The 25,712-nt window shown below is 37.2% G+C and overlaps 1 protein-coding gene across 18 annotated transcripts in view; it reads right to left on the bottom strand.

The window, feature by feature from the left end:
- Positions 1-25,712, bottom strand: part of NFAT5 (nuclear factor of activated T cells 5) — a 138,689-nt gene that overhangs the window by 59,362 nt on the left and 53,615 nt on the right. For 9 of the 18 annotated variants that reach the window (XR_007064848.1, NM_138714.4, NM_138713.4 and 6 more), the window contains one exon: positions 18,765-18,890. Coding sequence is in view for 4 of the 18 variants with exons in the window: in NM_138713.4 (NP_619727.2) it covers positions 18,765-18,890 (126 nt within the window). In the remaining 14 variants the exon portion in view is untranslated. Of the gene's footprint in view, positions 1-436; positions 13,622-18,764; positions 18,891-25,712 lie in introns of those variants that run through there. The other 9 variants (XM_047433510.1, XM_047433513.1, XM_047433512.1 and 6 more) reach the window with 4 other exon arrangements.

The raw sequence follows: 25,712 nt of genomic DNA, 5'->3' as shown, positions 1-25,712 counted from the left end.
TAAACTGCATTCCAATTTAAAGGAAAACTTATCAATTTTGTATCATGCATTAATGCAATGTTTTCTTAGTAAATAAATATTTTTAAAAGTTTGTAAAAACTACGAAATCTATATGCTACTGTCAGTGACAGTTTAGGAGCTGATTTGTAGCCACTTTGAGTTTAAATATAATTTTTTTCCTTGTCTTTTGAAAAATACTACAGAATTCATTTTAGAAAAAATAGAAAAGGTATTACATCTAACATTCCTTCATCTGTTCCAACTATTGGCAAAAACGAAACTAATTTTTTGTGTACTTATGAGCCTATGTTCTTCATTTTCAGAGAAATACAAGTATGCAGCATACAAGTATGCAGCATGCAATATTTGCAGTGGAACACACAAAACATGAATGCTGTGAACTTATATTTCTATAAAGCAACTTTCTCCCACTCACCCTTTTTAAATCTAAGGATCATGCACATGAGAATGCAGAGTATGAACATCTCAGGGATCCCTGTTCATGACAGATGGAAAGTACAGGTGAAAAGCAATCATGAACCCAAAAGCAAGTTATATGGTATTATGAATTTAATATGCACGATATAACCTTGTCTTGTTCTCTGAGGTAAAAAATTTTATCTTGCAAATCTTATCAAATATCAAAACCGTAATGATTATAAAACCCAACTGATTTAACAGTCAGACATAAGTGTGTGTTCTAGGGTAAGTATGCCAAACTGTGATATCATATCCTACATAAATTTAAATATTCTATACATTTTCCATGGACAGCTAACACACGATTGTGTGTGCACAACTGCAGGATTGATCCTGGGCATACTTATTAAAGAAAAAGTTAGCACAAAACTATGACACTGAAAATATTAACTCTGTCAGAAAAGAACAGTAACCATCTTTTAATAGAAAAATATTACTTTTTAAAGTCTACCTCAATTGCAAAGATTCTACTCATTTTAAGACAAATGAAATAATTTTTTTTAAACTGTAAAATTCTTTTTTTTTTTTGAGGCAGGGTCTCACTCTGTTGCCCAGGCTACAGTGCAGTGGCACGATCATGGCTCACTGCAGCCTTGATCTCCTGGGCTCAAGCAATCCTCCTGCCTCAGCTTCCCGAGTAACTGAGACTACAGGCACACAACACCATGCCTGGCTACTTTTTAAATTATTTGTAGAGGCAAAGTTTTGTCATGCTGCCCAGGTGGTCTCAAATTCTTGGGCTCAAGCAATCCTCCAGCTTTGGCCTCCCAAAGTACTGGGATTATAAGCGTGAGCCACCACACCCAGCCTAAAATTCTTTACCATGGTACTATTGATCCTCTGATGATGATAATGATGTATAAAATCTTTCACATCAAAACATTACATTCTGGTTAGCAAGAGATCTGAGTGCATTAATTAATAATGCCATGTGAGGTAGTAAAATGGAGGGTAAGAACTGTGAGCACTTCGAAAGCACTGACAATATCTTTCTCATCTTAGATCCTCCCAACACCTATCACAGTGCCTACATTGTAATAAAATTCAAATTATTAAATTGATTTCTGGGAAGCCAAAAATTTGGTATGTATTTGGAGTTACATTAAAGATAAGCTGGCAAATAAATGTAGGTTGAAGAATAAAAGAATTTTTATTCTTTTATATTCAAATATAATTCAAATATAATTCAAAGTACTTAGAATATATATTACTACGATAGCATTATTTGATACAGAGAAAATACTAAGAGTCTAGAGGTAACGATTTGCTATCTCTACCGAGAGTACTCTAGTAATTTTATTTCCTTAAATTATAAGTAAGCCAAATTACCTACTTATATATCCATAAATTTACCATGAAAAAAATCCTTAATATCCTATTAAAATATAAATACATAAAATAATGATATCAGAACATTTTAAATTTCTAATGCTAATTAGTCATTTCCAAGCATTCCCAGAAAAGTGCTGACAAATCCTCCTGGGAATACCACTGTATCACTAAATAAAGTATCAAAAAACAGCTTGATATTCTATAGAACCAAAGTGTGAATGCAGTTCTGACCCGTCTATATATTCTTTTTTTTTTTTTTTTTTGAGAGGGACTCTCGCTCTGTTGCCCAGGCTGGAGTGCAGTGGCGCGATCTCGGCTCACTGGAACCTCTGCCTCCCAGGTTTCAAGTGATTCTCCCGCCTTAGCCTCCTGAGTAGCTGGGATTACAGGTGCCTACCACCACGCCCAGCTAATTTCTGTATTTTAGTAGAGATGGGATTTCATCATGTTGGCCAGGGTGGTCTCGAACTCCTGACTTCAAGTGATCCACCCACCTCGGCCTCCTGACGTGCTGAGATTACAGGCGTGAGCCATGGTGCATGGCCATGTGAATAAATTTTATTGATTTTTTTTCTTTTATGAAGGAATTATCTTTGAACCTATAGTCTAACTTATATAGAATACTTTTTTTTTCCTTTTTCTTTTCTTTTCTTTTCTTTTTTTTGAGACACAGTCTTGCTCTGTTGCCAAGGCTAGAGTACAGTGGCACAATCTTGGCTCTCTGCAACCTCCACCTCCCGGGTTCAAACGATTCTCCTGCCTTAGCCTCCCGAGTAGCTGGGACTACAGGCACCCGCCACCACGTCCGGCTAATTTTTGTATTTTTAGTAGAGATAGTTTCACCATACTGGCCAGGCTGGTCTTGAACTCCTGACCTTGTGTTCTGCCCACCTCAGCCTCCCAAAGTGCTGGGATTACAGGTATGAGCCACTGTGCCTGGGCTAGAATAATTTTATTTTTTCTAAAGCATTTTCTGTGACCACAGAAAGCACAACAAACTAAAGGAAAAATTAATAGACCATTCTATAATTTACTCATAGAAATTTATAATGTCAGATTATTTTAAATAGAATAATTTTAAAATTTAAAAGAGGCAGGTAAAGTGTCATATGTAAAGTATCCTGTATTTAAGTCTGTTTGCCACTATTAACAGTAGCCAGTTATCAGACCAAATGCCAGTAACGATGGTGAACTTGAATTGTACATACAGCTTCTTTTAAGAATTGATGGAAACTATAAATACTCAAAAATAGTTGAGATTCAAAGACTGGCAGATATTAAATAATGTCTACATGGAATATGAATATCCCAGAATCTGCAATTTAATAAAAGATGAAACAGGATTTTATTTACTTTCTTTACTTTCTTTTTTGTTTTCTTTGTTGAGACAGTCTTGCTCTGTTGCCCAGGCTGGAGTGTAGGGGCACGATCACAACCCACTGCAGCCTCGACCTCCTGGGCTCAAGCGATCATCCCACCTCAGCCTCCTGAATAGCTAGGACTACAGGTATGCACCACCATACCTGGCTAATTTTTGTATTTTTTTGTAGAGATAGGGTTTCACCATGTTGCCCAGGCTGGTTTTGAACTCCTAGGCTCAAGGGATTCTCCCACCTCAGCCTCCCAAAGTGCTAGGATTACAGGCATGAGGCACCATGCCCAGACTGAAATAAGATTTTAAACGATACCATTTATAGAAACCCATGTAGATTTTATATACTCCTTGCTTAAACTGTATTTTAAACTTAAGAACTATCAGCTCTAGATTTGTCAACTAGAAATTATTTTAACTACCATAATATATTAGTGCTTAAAATATCATAAAAAAGATATACTTTATATGGAACTAAAAACTTTTAATAGAAAGCTTTGAAATTAGAAATATTTGCTGAAGTCCTCAAAAGAAAGAAATACCTTTCACTGCTTTAAAATATATGACAGAAATGATATTTAATTTCCAAGCTTCCAAGATTAAAATTTGATCCCTAACATTTGAATATGTACATATTTTATAATTTTTCAACATCTGTGCAAAATTGAGTTTTCTAAAAAAGCTAGTTTAAAAAAAGCCATAAAATTTTGCAAGAGTGCTAAGTGAACAAATAGTGGAACAAAGAAGGAATAAATTATTGACTATTCAAAAATAATCATTAAAAAAAAGATATTTGGAAACAATTTCCTTTTTTTTTTTTTTTTTTTTTTTGAGACGGAGTCTCACTCTGTTGCCCAGGCTGGAATGCAGTGGCACAATCTTGGCTCACTGCAACCTCTGCCTCCCAGGTAAAAGCGATTCTCCTGCCTCAGCCTCCCGAGTAGCTGGGACTACAGGTGCCCGCCACCACACCTGGCTAATTTTTGTATTTTTAGTAGAGACGGGGTTTCACCGTATTGGCCAGGCTGGTCTCAAATTCCTGACCTTGTGTTCTGCCCACTTTGGCCTCTCAAAGTGCTGGGATTACAGGTGTGAGCCACCGTGCCCGGCCTTTTTTTTTTTCTTTTGAGATGGAGTTTCGCTCCTGTTGCCCCCGCTGGAGTACAATGGCACGATTTTGGCTCACTGCAACCTCTACCTCCCAGAGTCAAGCGATTCTTCTGCCTCAGCCACCCAAGTAGCTGGGATTACAGGCATGCACCACCACGCCCGGCTAATTCTGTATTTTTAGTAGAGACAGGGTTTCACCATGTTGGTCAGGCTGGTCTCGAACTCCTGACCTCAGCTGATCCGCCTGCCTCAGCCTCCCATAGTGCTGGGATTACAGGCGTGAACCACTGTGCCTGGCCAGAAACTATTTCTGATCTAAAACACATAATGTTCAACCTTCGTTATTTCTTCTTAAGCATTATATTTTTCTTACTGGTAACAATGACCAACTCTGAAGTTCTCATCTGATAAAAGTCACCAGATACAAGGACATATTTTCAGATTAAAGAAGAAAGATATTCAGAGAAAAAAGCTGTAAGGCCAACACTCATGTTGCCAAGAGATTGAAATATCTAGAACACACAAAGTGGCTGCAAACCTGCTTTGTCGACACCTTACATGCCAACCTTCATTTTCTACTTTTCTTCTTTTTCTTATAATATTAATGCAAAGTTTAAAACTTTACAAAAAGTTTTAGTTTCAATCAGTATCAATCCACTATTTAGAAACAAACAAACAAAAAGTAAGAAAGGAAGAGAGAAAGAAAGAAGGACTTATGAAGAAGTCTGAAAACGAGACCGACCTATACCCTGGGTGAGATTGGATGGGTTAAGTGTCTCTGGCACTATTTGTCTTCACTATTGACAGACACTGTCACACAACCCACCACACGATGCCTGTCTCTGAATGGCGAAGCTAGAATGCAAGTTAAGTGTATTAATAGAAAAAACAACTAGCATCCCAGCATATAAAATAAGCATTCCAGATTATTAAAAAAACAAAAATTGTAGGGCTGATCATTTACATGATTAAAACAGTTTCAATCTCCCATTTGTACTTTTCCCACCCAACATACGTTTACATGTTAAAATAAGCAATGTTTTAAAATGAACTTCAAAAAATTTAATTATTAACCTCTGAATGCATGTGGGGAAATTTCTTAGACAAAATTTTTGTGAACTCTTATTCACCAATTTGTTCTGTTTATAGATGCTCTCTAATCCATAAGCCAGAATTCTCTCTTTCAGGTGTTTTTCAGGCTGTTCCCTTACCCAAACTCTTTTGAAGCGTGGAAGAAGATATGTTCTGAGCAATGCACTTACACTGTAAAAAAACCTATATTTTAGCAGCAAAATAACCTTTCCATTTTTCAGACCACACTGACTCCTACATACTTCTTTATACTCCCCTTAAAAAGGATACCAATTTATACTTTTAATGATACATGCTACTTTGTATAATATGTTTGATCCTAGAGGCTCTATTTTTTTAAAAAAAATAATGAGCACTACTGCTGAAGCTGAAGGGTTTGTTTCTGATTTATTGCAGACATCTTTTTCTTCTCCAGTTCATCAAATTGCCATTCAGGGTTCTAATGTTATAAAACAATTACTCTCCAGTTTTTAATCTGAATTCTCCTTAAATAATTATTTCTACCTTATCAGAGTACCATTAATACACTCATATAATATTTACTAAAGAGTGCTCCCTGAAAAATAAAATGCTTATCCTGAAACTTAGAGCAATGTTTTAAATGTATTTTTTGTTCTATCCAAACAAAATTTTTTTCTATTCAAACAAAAATTCAACCCAAAGGATCTAAGCACAGTGTATAAAACATGTACTAGATATACACATTAAATACTTTGATTTTTAAGTCCATGTAAAATTCTTTCCTAATGGAAGAAAAAGATGTTTTCCATCATCCAATGATTTAAGTACCACTGGATACCATCACTTGTCAATACTGAATGAAGAGACTAATATCCAGATGTAATCTTCTATCTCCAATAATTTAAACACAAAAGGGAATAATTATACTAGCTGACAGCTACATTTATTACACTGCCAAATATACCAGGAAGTATAGGCTAAAAAGAGAGAGAGACAGAGACAAACACTGAACTACTGAAAGATAATGTCACTTTAAGATAAAAACAGAGTATCACTAAACTTCAAAATTAGAGAAAAAAAAAGTTCCAAGGGATATTATCTGAAGGACACTTCAATACGCTACAATACATTTTAAATATTTTAGATTAAAAAATAAAGGCATTCCTGCCAATTCTACTTCAATGTTTTTACTTTTTTTTTTTTTTTTTTTGAGACCGAGTCTCTCTCTGTTGCCCAAACTGGAGTGCAGTGGTGCAATCTCAGCTTACTGCAATCTCTGCCTCCTGGGTTCAAGTGATTCTCCTGCCTCAGCCTCCCGAGTCGCTGGGATTACAGGCGCCCACCACCACCTCTGGCTAATTTTTTGTATTTTTTAGTAGAGATGGGGTTTCACCATGTTGGCCAGGCTGGTCTTGAACTCCTGACCTCAGGTGATCCACGCACCACAACCTTCCAAAGTGCTGGGATTACAGGCGTGAGCCACCGTGCCCAGCCCTACGTTTGTTTTTTTTAAGATATGATTAAACAATAATAAAAAATCATTTACAGCATCATTAAAAACTTCTGATTTAATCAATCAGGTTTTAGACCTGGGTCTGGAGTAAAGTGTACGTTAGATCCAATCGTAGACAAAATAAACTGCCTAGACAAAAAACCAGAAGTCATAAATTGCTCTACCAGAAGTTTTTTTGTTTTTTGTTTTTGTTGTTGCTTGTTTGTTTGTTTTTGAGACACAGTCTCACTCTGTCGCCCAGGCTGGAGTGCAATGGCGTGATCTCGGCTCGCTGCAACCTCCGCCTCCCGGGTTCAAACGATTATCCTGCCTCAGACTCCAGAGTAGCTGGAATTATAGGTGCCTGCCACCATGCCCAGATAATTTTTGTATTTTTAGTAGAGCCAGGGTTTCATCATGTTGGCCAGACTAGCCTCAAACTCTTGACCTTGTGATCCGCCAGCCTCAGCCTCCCAAAATGCTGGGATTACAGGCGTGAGCCACCGTGCCCAGCCTCTACCAGAAGTTTTGATCATTAACCATGCAACTTAAATCACTTCATTAAAAAAATACTATTAAGAACTCTTAAACAGCAGACTTTATAGAATTAGTCCTTCAGAAACTGTCGGTCTTTCCTATGATTTCATCATCCTCTATCAATGTTCCTTTTATATACAAAGGTTCTGATATGGTTTAGCTATGTATCCCCACCCAAATCTCAACTTGAATTTTATCTCCCAGAATTCCATGTGTCACAGGATGGACCCAGGAGGTGGTATTTGAGTCATGGCGGCTGGTCTTTCCTGTGCTATTCTTCTGACAGATAATAAGTCTCACAAGATCTGATGAGTTTATCAGGGGTTTCCACTTTTGCTTCTTCCTCATTTTCTCTTGCTGCCACCATGTAAGAAGTGCCTTTTGCCTCCCACCATGATTCTGAGGCCTCCCCAGCCATGTGGAACTGTAAGTCCAAATGAACATTTTTTCTTCCCAATCTGGGGTATGTCTTTATCAGCAGCATGAAAATGGACTAACACAGTAAACTGGTACCAGGAGTGGGGTGTTGCTGAAAAAATACCAGAAAATGTAGAAGTGACTTTGGAACTGGGTAACAGGCAGAGTTTGGAACAGTTTGGAGGGCTCAGAAGAAGACAGGAAAATGTGGGAAAGTGTGGAACTTCCTAGAGACTTGTTGAGTGGCTTTGCCCAAAATGCTGATAGCGATATGGACAATAAGGTCCAGGTCTCTGATGGAGATAAAGAACTTGTTGGAAACTGGAGTAAAGGTGACTCTTGTTATGTTTTAGCAAAGAGACCGGCATTTTACCCCTGCCCTAGAGATCTGTGGAACTTTGAACTTGAGAGGGATGATTTAGGGTATCTAGTGGAAGATATTTCTAAGCAGCAAAGTATTCATTAGGTGACTTGGGTTCTGTTAAAGGCATTCAGTTTTATAAGGGAAGCAAAGCATACAAGTATGGAAAATGTGCAGCCTGACTATGCGACAGAAAAGAAAAACCCATTTTCTAGGGAGAAATTCAAGCTGGCTGCAGAAAACTGCATAAGTAGCAAGAAGCCTAATGTTAATAATCCCCAAGACCATGAGGAAAATGTCTCCAGGCCATGTCAGAGACCTTTGTGGCAGCCCCTCCCATCATAGGCCCAGAGGCCCAGGAGGAAAAAGCGGTTTTGTGTGCTGGGCCCAGGGTCCCCATGCTGTGTGTGGCCTAGGGACTTGGTGCCCTGTGTCCCAGATGCTCCAGCCATAGCTGAAAGGGGCCAATGTACACAGCTCAAGCTGTGGCATCAGAGGGTGGAAGCCCCAAACCTTGGCAGCTTCCATGTAGTGTTGAGCCTGTGGGTGCACAGAAGTCAAGAATTGAGATTTGGGAACCTCCGCCTAGATTTCAGAGGATGTATGGAAACCCCTGGATGCCCTGGCAAGTTTTCTGCAGGGGTGGGGCCCTCACGGAGAACCTCTGCTAGGGCAAAGCAGATGGAAAATGTGGGGTTGGAGACCCCACACAGAGTCCGTACTGGGTACTATGTAATGGAGCTGTGAGGAGAGGGCCAATGTCTTCCAGACCCCAGAATGGTAGATCCACTGACAACCTGCATCATGCACCTAGAAAAGCTGCAGCCACTCAATGCCAGCCCATGAAAGCAGCTGGAAGGGAGGCTATACTCTACAAAGCCACAGGTGCAGAGCTGCCCAAGACCATGGGAACCCACCTCTTGCATCAGCGTGACCTGGTTATGAGACCTGGATTCAAAGGAGATCATTTTGGAGCTTTAAAATTTGACTGTCCCACTGGATTTCGGACTTGCATGGGCCCTGTAACCCCTTTGTTTTGGCCAATTTCTCCCATTTGGAACAGCTGTATTTACCCAATACCTGTACTCTCATTGTATCTAGGAAGTAATCAGCTTGCTTTTTATTTTACAGGCTCATAGGCAAAAGGAGCTTGCCTTGTCTCAGATGAGACTTTGGACTGGTAGACTTTTGGGTTAATGCTGAAATGAGTTAATGAGTTTGGGGGACTGTTGGGAAGGCATGACTGGGTTTGAAATGTGAGGACATGAGATTTGGAGGGGCCAGGGGCAGAATGATGTGGTTTGGCTGTGTCCCCACCCAAATCTCAACTTGAATTGTATCTCCCAGAATTCCCATGTGTTGTGAATCATGGGGGCTGGTCTTTCCCGTGCTATTCTTGTGATAGTTAATATGTCTCAGGAGATCTGATGGGTTTATCAGGGGTTTCTGCTTTTGCTTCTTCCTCATTTTCTCTTGCTGCTGCCATGTAAGAAGTGCCTTTTGCCTCCTGCCATGATTCTGAGGCCTCCCTAGCCATGTGGAACTGTAAGTCCAATTAAACCTTTTTTTCTTTCTAGTCTCGGGTATGTCTTTATCAGCAGTGTGAAAACAGACCAATGCAGATTCCCACTGAGAGAGTGTCAACATGACAGAATAACAAAGTCAGAAAGTATATCCCATGGCCCACATATATATACATCTTGACTGGTGTGCGAAACTTCAAAATAAGACCAAAAATAGACTGGGTGAGAATGCAAAGAAAAAAAGTAAAAATAAAGTTCAAAACTAATTTTTACAAAGAGAACCTATTTTTTAACACCTTACTAATGGCCAGGCATGGTGGCTCACGCCTGTAATACCAGCACTTTGGGAGGCTGAGGTGGGCGGATCACCTGAGGTCCGGAGTTCAAGACCAGCCTGGCCAACGTGGTGAAACCCTGTCTCTACTAAAAATACAAGAATTAGCCAGGCATGGTGACAGGTGCCTGTAATCCCAGCTACTTGGGAGGCTGAGGCAGGAGAATCGCTTGAACCCAGGAGGTGGAGGTTTCAGTGAGCTGAGATCGCACCATTGCACTCCAGCCTGGATGACAAAAAAAAAAAAAAAAAAAAAAACTTTACTAACAAAGGAGGTTAGAAACACATGGGGAAGGAGGTCAATGTTTATTCAATAATTACTACTTGTCAGAAAATGTTCGGCTATTTTACAAATTTATCTTCATAAGAACCTTAAGAAGAAGTTGGTATTATTGTCTAACTACAAGGGTAATATTATTAGAAATTTATTTAACTTTCCCAAGAGTCCATCTATATAGGAGATATGATATGATAGCAATTAGATTCAAATTCAGTCTTTATGACTCCAAAGCCCATGTTAATCTCATCTGTGAGAAAAATAAACAAATAAATAAAACTATGTACATGTTGTGTGTGTGTTTGTAAGTAAGTTTGATCTAGAGAATGGCTGTATAGACCTGGTACTTTGAGGTGCTTTCTCATTCATTTTCTGATTTAATTTAGTTGATGATAATACCCTGTAATTATATGGGAAGAATAAATTCTACCTGAGTGGGCTAAATAAATACTGCCAGTACACACATACTTGATACATATATGCAATGATGGATGAAAAGTGAATATAACCTTACTTATGCCAAATATAAATCCATCAAGTATCTAATATATCCCATATATTTGTTAGTTTTTAAGAGTACAGTTTATTGGACACTTTTATTCATATAGTCATTTGCACCCAGTGATTTTAAAATTATGAAATATTTAAAACACTCATGTAGCTTCCACTCATATTCAAAAAATGCTACCATTTTACTATGTATGATTTTTTTTTTTTTTTTTTTTTTGTGAGTCGGAATCTCACTATCGCCAGGCTGGAGTGCAGTGGCATGATCTCGGCTCACTGTAACCTCTGCCTCCCAGGTTCGAGTGATTCTCCTGCCTCAGCCTCCTGAAGAGCTGGGGATTACAGGCACCCGCCGCCACACCCAGCTAATTTTTGTATTTTTAGTAGAGATGGGGTTTCACCATGATGGCTAGGCTGCTCTCAAACTCCTGACCTCAAGTGATCTGCCCGCCTCGGCCCCCCAAAGTGCTGGGATTACAAACATGAGCCACTATGCCTGGCCCATGTATGATTTTTTTAATTTTATTTTTTTAATTAACAAATAATAATCATACATATTCATGGGGTAGATAATGTTCTGATACATATAATGTACAGAAATCAAATCAAGGTAATTAACATATCCATTATCTAAATATTTATCATTTCTTTGTGTTAGGAATGTTCAGTATCTTCCTTCCAGCTATTTGAAACTATATAGTATTGTTAACTACAGTCATCCTACAGTGGTATAGAACACTAGAACTTATTTCTTCTATCTAGCTGAAATTTTGTATCCTTCAACAAATTTCTCCCTATCCCTTCCTTCCTCCTACCCTTCCCAGCCTCTATTATCTATCCTCTGTCTTACTTTTTACTTCTATGAGACCAACATTTTTTAGCTTTCACATATGAGTGAGAACATGCAGTGTTTAACTTTCTGTTCCTGGCTTATTTCACTTAATGTCCTCCAGTTCCATCCACATTGCCATAAATGACAAGATTACATTCTTTTTTATGGCTGAATTCCAGAGGAAAAAATATCCAGAAACAGGTGAAGTTCCTTTCTTATAAAACAATTAGTTATAAACACTTTTTGCTTATATTTTCAATCTTGTTGGTGATATAAAAAAGTCCACTTCTATGCATTAATTTCTTAGGCAAAATTGTACAGAATGCATAAAATCAGTAACTGTATCTATTTTCTATAAGTATTTAGCTTATGAATGAGAATCTGTGAACAGTTTCAAAATGCTGTTCTGTTGACTCAAGTAATATAAAAATATGCTTATTTATTAGAAACTGAATAAATCACAATATTTATAAAAGTGTTATTAAGAGGACAATAAAAAGAGAAATATTAAAGGAACAAAGCAATAATAGGCCAAGTTTGCTTTTTGGCAATGTCAATTTGTAACTGTCAAACAATTAGCAGTTGTTTCTGAATTAATGGCTATAGGCCCAAGTTTGCTCTCTAATAATGCAGACTTCAGCATAAATCCATACATACATACCATCCATATGTATAAGTGTATGTATTTAAATTTACTATGTAATTTCAGTATAATAAGATAGAAGGAGGAGTAGAGATTTTTAAATCTGCTTGCAACATGTTTGTAACTAGGATCTGACTTCCTTCTAGAAATGGTCTAGTTTTCTTGGAAAAAAGGGAATGGCCATAAAGAATAACCAAGATCAACTCACAACATTTTAGCTCACAGCATCTGTAGGTGAATTACCTTTCTCGTTAGTGGGTTTCTGGTTTAATTTCATGAAGAGTATACTACATTAGGTGGCAAAAATTCTGAAATATGTTAACCCAGGAAAGCAATCAAAGGCAAATTTCTTCCTCAAATTTAGTCAACTCAAGAAAATCCTCATTATATAACTGTAAATACTTTCTAACGTAAGTAAATTAAGTTATAATAAATTCAATGGGATAAAAAATTTTGTTGCTAGAAATCACTTTTATTAAATTATTATTATAGAAATCAAATTCCCATTCGAAGATCCTGACACTTGTAGAGAAGAGGTATGGCTTTTCAACTCAATATTCTATACATTGCCTAGTTAAGGATCTTGCGTTTCCCTAATCGAAGTGATAGCACACAATGCCAAATTCCCTCAAGCACAATGACAAGGAGTAAGAACTAGGTAAAAGAAAAAAGAGAGATACTTTATGGCTAGAAGGATTGTGATATGATGACATGCAAATTACCTAACACAATTCTTGTCACATAGTAGGAACTTAAAAGTGATAATATATTTTCATTTTTTAAAAGCTGTCTCCTACAGGAGGAGTAACATATTTTCTTCACCTCAGTTTTTGTACAGTGTATTATTATAGATGGTTTAGAAATTTCTGTGATTTTAATTCAGGTGATTAGGAGATATGAAATGAATTAGAATATAGCACTTATTTGATTATAGGACATTAATTTGCATCTCTAGTGCCCTCTCTTATAGTATAAATAGCACTCAATGAAATTTTGTAGAAAATACTTGTTACATACTTGAGATTTATTAAGTGACATGGCATAGAACTCAAAGCACTATATATCAAAGCTCTTCCAAAAGAAAAATTTATTATATGGATCACTTCACATCAAGTTATGAACTTAAAAACCGACAGTGGTCCAACAAGTGGAGATATTCAACCAAGATTTCCACTGTACACACTTTATGACTGTGTATTATCTTTATACATGTTAAAAACTGCTATGAAGTTAGCCGGGTGTGGTGGCACACACCTGTAGTCCCAGTTACTCGGGAGGCTGAGGCAGGAGAATCGCTGGAACCCGGGAGGTGGAGGTTGCAGTGAGCCAAGATCACGCCACTGCACTCCAGCCTGGCAAAAGAGCAAGACTCCATCTCAAAAAACAAAAACAAAAACAAAAGCACAATTGCTATGAAGTATTAGTGTACTGTTACTTCTAAAAAGAGTATTAATATATAATTACTGAAACCAAAATATGAATATTATGAAGCTATGCAAAAAAAGAATTATTAATGCATTATTAAGATTCTCTGGCTGAATTATAAAACCTATAGTTTAATTCATTTTTGTTTTGTTTTGTTTTGTTTCTTTGAGATGGAGTCTCACTCTATCGCCCAGGCTGGAGTGCAGTGGCGTGATCTTGGCTCACTGCAACCTCTGCCACCCGAGTTCAAGCAATTCTCCTGCTTCAGCCTCCCAAGTAGCTGGGATTACAGAAGCCTGCCACCATGCCCAGCTAATTTTTGTATTTTTAGTAGAGACGGGGTTTCACCATCTTGGCCAGGCTGGTCTTGAACTCCTGACCTCATGATCCACCCACCTCGGCCTCCCAAAGTGCTGGGATTACAGGCGTGAGCCAGTGTACCCGGCCTAGTTTAATTCATTGTTTAGTTCAAGAATTTGAATTAAAAATTTTAAAGAAACTTCAAACAGTCCACTTAGAAAAATATATTTTGAAATAAACTAATAAACACAATGTTATATTCCCAAATGAAGCCAAACAAAACAAGTGTAGAATAGAACAAGAAAGTAACTTGATTTCTTAAAATGAAGACTAAAGTCCATGACTTTCTATTTTAAATAAATTAAGTAAATTTAATGATTAAAACTGTAAGCACATAGATTAAAAATATTTGATTATACAGCAGGTGAATTATGTCTCAATAAAGCTGTTATTTTAAAAAACCCCAAACCTGCCATACATCTTTTCAAAAGCCCCAAATTCTGATATAACTCATTTAGTTCTCCTAATACCTATGTTTTAATTCTGTATAACTATACTATAGGATTATCCAAAAAATAAACAAAAGAATCTTTTCATGATTTGTACTTCTTCTTAATAAACTCCTTATTTTGCCAAAAAGTGTCATCAATTCATTTGGATAACTTTTATGTTTTAGGAACGTGGCCTCTCTTTTAATTACTGAGAACTTACAAAATGGTTCAGAAAGTTTATATTTTTAAAGCTTTCATTCATTGATATATTGAACATCTAAGGCTTAACTATCTTTCCACTGGGACAAAAACAGAATTCTTAAAAATGAGGAGGAGGGCCCAGTGTGGTGGCTTACACCTGGAATTCCAGTGCTTTGGGAGTCCAAGGTAGGAGAACTGCTTGAGGCCAGGGGTTTGAGACCAGCCTGGGCAACACAGCAAGACAACTCTACAAAAAATTAAAAAAACAATCCAGGGCCGAGCATAGTGGTTCACACCTGTAATCCCAGCACTTTAGGAGGCCAAGCCTCGAGGATCACCTGAGCCCAGGAGTTCGTTCGAGACCATCCCTGGAGAAGCAGCATAGTAAGACCCTGTCTCTACAAAAAACACAAAAATCAGCCAGGTCCATCACCTGAGGTCAGGAGTTTGAGATCAGCCTGGCCAACACAATGAAACCCCGTCTCTACTAAAAATACAAAAATTTGCTGGGCATGGTGGCGTGCACCTGCAATCCCAGCTACTCGGGAGGCTGAGGCAGGAGAACTGCTTGAACCTGGGAGGTGGAGGTTGCAGTGAGCTGAGATCACACTGCTGCACTCCAGCCTGGGCGACAGAGTGAGACTCTGTTTAAAAAAAAAAAAAAATTACCCAGGTCCATGTGGTGGCATATGCCTGTGGTTCCCAGCTACTCAGGAGACTGAAATGGGAGGATCACTTGAGCCCAGGGGGTTTAGGCTGCAGTGAGTCAAGGTCACACCAGTGCATTCAGCCTGGGTGACAGACCCTGTCTCTTAAAAAAAAAAAAAAAAAAAAAAATTAGCCCAGTGTGGTAGTGTGCACTTATTTCCCAGATGAGGTGGGAGGATCACTTGAGCCCAGTAGTTGAAGGTTGCAGTGAGCTATGATCGCACCTCGCACTCCAGCCTAGATGACAGAGCTAGAACATGTCTCTTAAAAAAAAAAATGGGATAACAAAATTGGTGACTCTGAACTCCACCTCCCAGATTCTGACACTTGGCCCCATGAAGAGGGGAGAAATTGTGTCTAAATAAGCCCCTTTCCCCGACACCTTGACCCTGGGATTAGAGGACTAAAATATATTATTGATGGGAGTGCATAAAAGTATGAATTGTGTAGAAGCAGATAAAGGCTTGATAGACGCTCTTTTACCCAATATTCTGGATTGTGGATTAGCAGCATCATATTTACTTATTCCCTTAGTAACAGGAAGAGGAAAAAAATCTAAATTGGTGAATCTGAGAAACACATTTTAAAAAATTAAACAACAAAAAAATGTCCATGAACACTCATATGCCCAGTCTTTAAATTTTAAAATTTAAATTAATTTAAAACTTGTCAAACACAAACCTTTATGGCAGAACTAGAAGTCTGTTCCCACCAGGCCCTCATACCTGAGAGCAGCCAATCCGGCTCCTTCAAAACTCTGAAGAATTAACTATATCAAGAGTCAATATTTTTACACATTTCATATTTTTTCTTTTTTCTTTTTGAGACGGAGTTTCACTCTTGTTGACCAGGCTGGAGTGCAATGGCACGATCTTGGTTCACTGCAGCCTCCGCCTCTCGGGTTCAAGCAATTCTCCTGCCTCAGCCTCCAGAGTAGCTGGGATTACAGGCGCCCGCCACCACGCCCGGCTGATTTTTTATATTTTTAGTAGAGACGCAGTTTCACCATGTTGATCAGGCTGGTCTTGAACTCCTGACCTCAGGTGATCTGCCGGCCTGGGCCTCTCAAAGTGCTGGTGTGAGCCACCATGCCTGGCCCATATTTTTTCAAAAATGCTAAAGATTTTTTAAAAACCCATACAAGTCTAAATTAATATGCCTTTCCCTAGACATCTATCTAGCCTTCTGGCTAGAAAAACATTGAGTAACTTGGTAATATACTCCAAGTAACTCTGACAGTTATATCACCAAGAATATTAGTATGTCAAATAAAAATATAATTCTAATGATATATACTGATTTCCTTAAAATAATTATTCTGTGATTTAAACTCTCTTGTTTATAATGGTAAGGTATGAAGTGCTCTTTCTAAGCTATTAGAATCCTAGAATAATCTACATTGGTTGCTAAATTTATATTTTGAAAAAGATTTTAAATGACTTGTTAATGATCATATAAACTTTCTGTGTGTGACTATAACAAAACTAGAAAGTTTACCTTCTTACTCTCTTTGCCATCTTTACAATGTCAATAATTTCAAGATAATAAGAATGCATTACTTCAAAATACTTCTTTTAATTAGATTTCTTATTTTCATGATTTTTCAACTCACAGCTTTCAATGTAATTTATCTTGAGAGATTTTTCTTAAATATACTGTGGTGGGGAGAAGGTTAATATTTCATTAGGGACCCAAATTCAAGAACTTTTAATATATTTTTATATATATAAGAATTTCTAAAATTCAATTTGGTATTATCTAAAAGGAAGAACTGTTCTTTTTCTAAACCTAACAATTTTTTCAGCTTTTAAAAGGAACTGGATCTACCGTCAACAGATGTTAAAAAGCACAGAAGAAACAGACTTTTAGTTCTATATAGATTCAACGTATCTTTAAAAAACAATCTCAAAAGATACAAAAGAAATCAGTTAGTCAATTTCTACTTGTGGATTTAAAGTGAAGTATCTCATAAAAAATATTTTATCTTTGTCATATTTTATTATTGGATGCAATTTTAAAACCAGATTTAAAACTTAAAATTCCAGAAAAATATCATCAGAGCCATTTTAGAACCCAGTGGATATAAAGCAAACCAGGTCATCTTATCAATTTGATTACTAAAAAGTTCACTAATTCACAATTAAATCCACAGAAACTGTTAGAAAGTGTCTGGCAACACATGAACAGTGAACAGGGCTGATCAGTTTCTTTGCCATATTTAAAGTTTTCCTGCCTTCAACCAGGAAGGCTTCAGCAATGCACTATGCAGCCTGAGAAAGATTGGTACATAAGGTTAATGGTACATAGGTTAATGCATATGAGAAATATATCTGAAGTTATACTATAGTACCAATATCCTCATTTAAACCACAACCTTACACTTTACTGTTCTCATTTTGAAACTAAAATAATTTACTGAAAACAATGCTCTGATAAACTTTAAATATCATTTTTAAAGATGAGAGGTGTCATATTAGGCAAGAAACCTCTAATTAGGACAGATAAAACTTCAAAATATATATATATATATATATATATATATATATATATATATATATATATATATATATATATGTTTCCTTTTTTTAAAACAAACACACTTAGCAGTCTATAAATCCAATATTAGGTGGGTAAACTAACATTACAGGAAGGACTGATACTAATTTGTCACTGATAACACTTTTTTCTATTAGCTTGTCTATCTTTTATTTTTATGTAAAATAAAAATTTGAGCCAATTGTATATCATTAAGTGTATGATTTGAGAGCTGAGTAAAAATAAGTCTAATAAATTTCAAACATTACTTTCTATACCTTTTCATCAATATAAGAAAATGTCTTTATATAAATATTATATTGACGTCCTCCATTACTTTCAATAAATTGAAAACTACGAAGTCACATATATTTTTAAATATAATAAAAAGGTTTCAGTAACATGCTATGAATATAAAAGACACTTGAGTGCTTCAGTCATTTTTCAGATCATATAAAATATTTTCCCTTGGTGCAAGTCTTTAAAATTAATTATTAAACAGAAACTCAAATATAATTTTCTATTCACAGCTTGGTATTTAACCTTTTTAAGCACAGTCAACCAAACAACTTTAAGCTGGTTCCCATATTTGAAGACAAGGTCCATTTTAGGAAATGGCATTTATAGATGAGACAATGTAAAATTTTAAGAAATAAGAATTACATTAAGAAAATAATATTGAAAAAGTTTAAGGTTAAAAGTACATATTTTAATGCCTCTTTTTAAAACCCTCAAATCACACTCTTTTTAGTATGAATTTTGCCAGCACTGTTCATGTTGGCCAGATTTATATTGGCCCTAGTTTTCTTTAATAAAGTAAAATGAAATGCATACCAGCAGCAACAACAGCTGGAGGAGGCGAGCCTGCCTCACCACCGCTTGTCTGACTCATTGATGCTACAGATGTTTCTCTAGATGGAGGTAACTGTAACTCCTTTGGGAGAAGATCATAGACAGATTCTGTGGGGAGGGGAAAGAGAGGAGAAAACAATTTTTAAAAGAGATTCAGTCAACAATCTAATATGCACAAAATGAGTATGTCTTTTCTCTCATGAGGAGAACTGTATTATTCACAAACAATCCCACAAAATTAATGTAAAGAGCTATTAGCAGCTGAGCACAGTGGCTCACACCTGTAATCCATGACTTTGGGAAGCCAAGGTGAGAGGATTGCTTGAGGCCAGGAATTAAAGACGAGTTTGGGCAACACAGTGACCCCCATCTCTACAAAAGGTTTTTTTTTTTTTTTTAATCAGCCAGGCGTGGTGATGCACACCTACAGTCCCAACTATTTGGGAGGCTCAGGTGGGTAAACTGCTTGAGGTCAAGGCTACAGTGAGCCATGATCATGCCACTGCACTCCAGCCTGGGTGAGACCCTGTTTCAAAAAAAAAAAAAAAATTTTTTTATTTTTTATTTTATTATATAATCTTATTGAACTGAAAAATGAATTTCCCATTAGTTCTGTCCCTGTTTTCTTCTTGGCTTTATTCCTTATGTTCAAGATAGTCTCTAGAAAAAGTTATTAACATTGAAAATTGGATAAAACTAGACAGAATGGAAGAAATGCCAAATAACCCAAGATGGTCCAGTATCTTCCTTTGCAATAGTATAAGTAAAACTTACCCTTTACATATGAAATGGCATATACTACTGTGGATCAGCTTTAAATTGGCTTCTCCAGTCAATTAGTATAGTCCTGCTCTTTTACCCAACACCCTTGAGAAAATATTTTAATTCAACACTATCATAATTCATTTTTCCCAATTATTAAAATAAATCAATCTAATCAAAGAAAAACTTTGTGGATTGAAGCTTAAAAAAAAAAAAGGAATGTTATGGCTCAAGCAAATACTTCTTACTCTCTGAGGCATCTCCAACCCTGGAAAGGCAAAGGTAAAGGAAACTCTTAAATCAGACTGCATAATGCATAAATACCTATATTAGATTACGATTACTTTTGTATTCCAAATTAAAGAACCCTGTATCTTTTAAAAATATTTTGTAATACTATAATTGCCCATAAAATTATATATATTAAAATATATTTTAACTTTTTAAAATATCCTTTATTGTATAGGTTTTTAACAGAAATAATTCCCAAAATATCCTCTAAAGGTAGTAGAATCCATGTTAGAAGGAACTTCAAAAAACCAATTAGAGCTAGGCACAATGGTCATGCCTGTAAATTCCAGCACTCCGGGAGACTGAAGGGGGTGGATCACCTGAAGTCAGGAGTTCGAGACCAGCCTGGCCAACATAGTGAAACCCCATCTCTACTAAAAAATACAAAAAATTAGCTGGGCATGGTGACGGGCACCTGTAATCCCAGCTACTCAGAAGGCTGAAGCAGGAGAATCACTTGAACCCAGGAGATGGAGGCTGCAGTGAGCCAAGATCGCGCCATTGCACTCCAGCCTGGGCAACAAGAGCGAAACTCCTTCTTTTTTTTTTTTTTTAAAAAAAAGAACAATTAGAGGCATATCGCGTATACTTATTTTCAAAATAACTGAGGCATGAAATTTAAGGGACTTGCCTAGTATGCCAAGAAATCCAAAATTCCAAAAATTGAAGAAGATTATTAATTATCTGCCTGAGTACTTTAAAATACAAAGGTAGCACCATAAGACATTTTATCCATGGTAAGAGACAATATTTCTAGTTAACTGCTTACTGGATTCATAAATACTTTGAGCTTCCTAGTTAATCACTAAAGTATATATCCTAACTTTGATGTGGATAGGGATAAGGAGGAAGGTCATGAAAGAAAGCTAAAATTAGAAGTTGTACTCTTAAACGATCTTCATTCACAGTAAAGAATAAACTTAAAAGTTTCTTTTGAAAAATGCTGTTACCTGGGCCAGGCGCGGTGGCTCACACCTGTAATCCCAACACTGGGAGGCCGAGGCGGGAGGATCACTTGAGGTCAGGAGTTCGAGACCAGCCTGGCCAAAATGGTGAAACCCTGTCTCTACTAAAAATACAAAAAGTTAGCCAGGCGTGGTGGTGGTCACCTGTAATCCCAGCTACTCGGGAGGCCGAGGCAGGAGAATCACTTCAGCCTAGGAGGCGGAGGTTGCAGTGAGCCGAGATCACGCCATTGCACTCCAGCCTGGGCAATAATAGTGAAACTCCATCTCAAAAACAAAAAAAGAATGAAAGAAATAAAAGAAAGAAGGAAAAATGTTGTTACCTAATGCTTGAAATGTTCATCTTCAAATCATGTGGCAAATTCAGCATCTGTCAGAATATAATATGCCCTGACTAAAAATTTTCAGTTTGTTAAAATGTTGTTAAAAGCCTTAAGTAGACGGCCGGTCACGGTGGTTCATGCCTGTAATCCCAGCACTTTGGGAAGCCGAGGCGGGTGGATCACCTGAGGTCAAGAGTTCGAGACTAGCCTGGCCAACATGGTGAGACCCTGTTTTTTTCCATCACATAAATCATAAATGCATTTCGGTAGATCTTCTTCTCTTTTTATTGAATCTGTTTCTTTTTTTTTTTTTTTTCAAATTTCCTTTTTGTTTGGGCAAAAAAAAGAAAAAAAAAGACTTGAGGCCAGGTGTGGTGGCTCATGCCTGTAATCCCAGCACCTTGGGAGGCCGAGGCAGGCAGATTACCTGAGGTAGGGAGTTCGAGACCAGCCTGACCAACATGGAGAAACCCTGTCTCTACTAAAAATACAAAATTAGCCGGACATGGTGGTGCATGCCTGTAATCACAGCTACTTGGGAGGCTGAGGCAGGAGAACCGCTTAAACCTGGGAGGCGGAGGCTGCAGTGAGCCAAGATCACACCATTGCACTCCAGCCTGGGCAATAAGAGTGAAACTCCATCTCAAAAAAAAATAACAATAATAATAATAATAATTAGCTGGGTGTGGTGACACACACCTGTAATCCCAGCTACTTGGAAGGCTGAGGCAGGAAAACTGCTTGAACCCAGGAGACGGAGGTTGCAGTGAGTCGAGATCGTGCCACTGCACTTCAGCCTGGCCAACAAAGCAAGACTGTTAAAAAAAAAAAAAAAGCCTTTAGCAAATTACTTCCATCTTTCAAACAATATGGAGGGAGTAGAGATAGGGAGAACCTAATTAAAACAGAAATGCCATTATCACCAAATATTCATTGTAATACAATTATCTTTCTCATTCCAGGTTGAAAATAAGAGTTCCTTAGACATAAGAGAGAAACACACTCAAGTCCATTTTTTTTCTTTGAGATGTAGTTTCTCTCTTGTTGCCCAGGCTGGAGTGCAATGGTGCAATCTTGGCTCACCACAACCTCCGCCTCACAGGTCCAAGTGATTCTCCTGCCTCAGCCTCCCAAGTTGCTGAGATTATAGGCATACACCACTATGCCTGGCTAATTTTGTATTCTTAATAGAGACGGGGTTTCTCCATGTTGGTCAGGCTGGTCTTGAACTCCCAGCCTCAGGTGATCCACCCACCTCGGCCTCCCAAAGTGCTGGGATTACAGGCGTGAGCCACCACACCCAGCCTCGAGTCTATTTTTTTCTTTTTTTTTTTTTTCCCAAACAAAAAGGAAATTTGAAAGAAACAGATTCGATAAAAAGAGAAAAAGATCTACCCAAATGCATTTATGATTTATGTGATGGAAAAAAATTTATCCTAGTAATAGCCCAATCACTAATAGCATGTTACTAATCAGGATTTTATCTCCATTTCTCCAATTATTAAAATAAATTAATCAAATCAAAGCAAAACTTTGTGGACTGAAACACTCTAACTTTCCCAAAGAAGGGTATAAAGTTGAGGTATCATACCTCTCCACTAGAGGTATGATAGTAATGTTACTAAAAAGTACATGGAAAGAAATTAAATGCAGAACTTGTTATATTCCACCCCTCTCCAAAGTCTGCCCCTCAAAACAAACAAGTAAAATGCAAGGTCAAGTGGAAGGTATAGGAAGCATGGATTCCTTCACCAAAGATGTTTTCTGATTAACTGACTCAAGTGTTTGGAAATAAAAGAAGTCAGCCTGCCAGAAGTTTATCATGCCTATCCAAGGGAAGCTACAGTTCATATAGTCATTACCAGCACAGGATTTTATTTCAGACATAACTGGTTTGGTTCTGCTACTTTAAATAACTTCTCTAAGACTTAAATCATCATTTAAACTCTTCTTTTACCCCAGTACCCCAAAGATATTCCCTCTAAACTATAACCATACAATCTGAACACAGCCACTGGCCTTTCTCCTAAATCTGCTTCCCATGGGATACCGAAAGATTAAAGGAATATAAATTATGCTATTAATACTGCTATTCAACCCTAAATTCAATCTAAATTAAATGCTTTTACAGTCTCCACTAGCCAATGAAAGAAATCCTGAATAAGAGCATATGCACTTTATTTATTTTATTTTATTTTATTTTATTTGAGTCAGGGTCTCACTGTGTCATCCAGGTTGGAGTATACAGACACAATCAAAGTTCACTGCAGCCTCCAACTCCTGAGCTCAAGAGATCCTCCTGCTGCAGCCTCCCGAGTGGCTGGGACCACAAATGTACACTGGCTAATTTTTTTAAAAAAACTTTTTGTAGAGACAGAGTCTCCCTCTGTTGCCCAGGCTGGTCTCAGACTCTTGGACTCAAGTGATCCTCCTGTCTCAGCCTCCCAAAGTGCCTGGATTACAGACATGAGCTGCACCTGGCCCATATGTACTTTAAATCTATGAAAATGACAGTCCTAAATAAGTGCCGGCTACTTCATGTTATGCCACAGTATCTATTTTTCTTATGTTATCTTTTAAATCAGTTCAGAAATATAAGAGAATAATGAAATTCCAGGTTTATAAACACAAGATACGAAGAAACAGAATGGGAAATCCCTAATGGAAAGGCAGCTTCTGAGGAAAGACTTCCTTAGAAAACAAAAGCAAAATCACTTAGATGAGAGAGAAAAGAGAGTGAGAGAAAGTGAGAGAGAAGGGATATGGGTATTAGATAAGGTTTCTTTTTGGAGTGATAAAAATGGCAATGGTTACACAACTCTGTATTTACATTAATAACCACTGAATTGTACCCTCTAAATGGGTAACCTTTATAGTATGTAAATTATATATCAATAAAGCTGTTTTTTTTTTTTTAAAGGAAGAGAGTAATAGAAGAAGCACAAGAAAGAATTAGACAAGAACAAGCAGGGTATCTAACAGTGCTCTAATAAACTTCATGGACAAAACCATCTCTCTTCACATAGCTTCTATATATAAAGAAGGCCAAGCTGCAAACTAATTTGTCTTTTAAGGCTCTTCTACTAGAGGATCAGGAAAATGCTGCAGGCAGTTATCCTAAATTCAGTAAAATATGTGATAAAAATCTTTATAAGTTATTGTAAACAAGAAGAAGAAATATAGACTTAATAAAATAGATGACTTCTAAACAACAGTACCCAAAAAATGTATAGGTTCAATCTGGAAGAAGGTGGTTATATCACAACTTGAACAAAGATATGACTTTTCAAATGACATAGGCTTAAAAGGGATTAAATCTTATGTCATAATTCATCACAGATCATGAAAGACTGGAATATCTGCCCAAAGGAAGGAGATGAAACTTAACAAGGATTAATGTAAGAGCTGGTAAAATCTGCTCTTGTGCAATAAACTTACATGTACTCACTCTATTTCTCTCTCTCTCTCTTTTTTAATCTAGAAGTGATTTTACTTTTGTGTTCTAAGGAACTCTTTCTTCAGTCGGCCAAGACTAGGGTGATTATTTTCTTTTTATTTATTTTTTCTCAGACATGCTCAGTTACCTTTTCAATTTTTTTGTAGAGACGCGGTCTTGCTATGTTGGCCAGGCTGGTCCTGAACTCCTGGGCTCAAGCAAGCCTCCTGCCTTGGCCTTCCAAAGTGCTAGAATTACAGGCGTGAGCCACCATGCCTGACCTGATTATTTTCTGATATATTTTTTCTATTAATGCTGCTAATAATTTGTGCGATAATGTGTAATCAACTCACCTAAATTTCATTAAAAATTTTAGTTGACCAAAATGCCACGGTAAGTGCACTGCTTAAGTATCCATGTAGTAGAATTAGGGCAAGTGCGATATAATAACTCCATTAACATAAATTATTAATATGTGTATAAGAAAAGTAGATAGGCAGAAAGGGAAGCAAGTTCAGAAGATCAAGAATCTGTCCCATGCTGGTGCATTCTCATAGAGCCCAGGGCAACTGGAAAAAGGAAATAGAAGAATGAAATCAACATTTTCAGATATTGAAAATAAATTAATGCTTCCCAATGTTGGGTGGAAAGGAAAACAATGTAAAAATGCACTGACTGGTTGGCTTGTTTAGTCATTCTGTAAACTATAATAGATCCATTTATGTCACTGATTATTTCTGGGTTAATTCAATCCTTTATTATTCAACACTGTCTACAAGAGGGTGGAAGAATTTCACTACAGTGGGTCAAATTTAAAGTAGGCAGAAATCCTATTCTGAGGCACAGGACAGTGAGAGAGAAGAAAAAAATTGGTAATTTAATAGGGCAACTTAATTTTTTATTTGTTTGTTTCTTCTCAGTTGGGCACTCTATGTCCAAAGAGCTGATCACCCAAATCCCCTTCTCTACTGCTTTACTGTTACTGGTCATTCCAGGAAGAGATGAAAAGACCTCAAGAGTGCAGGGAGATAAGCCACAGGAAACAGCTGGGAAAAGACATGCTTTTCATGCTGTACTCACTCAGCAAAATAACAACATTAATAACATAATTACAGCTACTATTTTTTGAGCACTTTGCAGGGCCAGGCTCAGT

Source organism: Homo sapiens, chromosome 16 (genome assembly GCF_000001405.40).
Source record: "Homo sapiens chromosome 16, GRCh38.p14 Primary Assembly".
Taxonomy (NCBI): domain Eukaryota; kingdom Metazoa; phylum Chordata; class Mammalia; order Primates; family Hominidae; genus Homo; species Homo sapiens.
The sequence above is the reverse complement of the archived record's forward strand: the minus strand, read 5'-3'. Positions and strand labels throughout refer to the sequence as shown.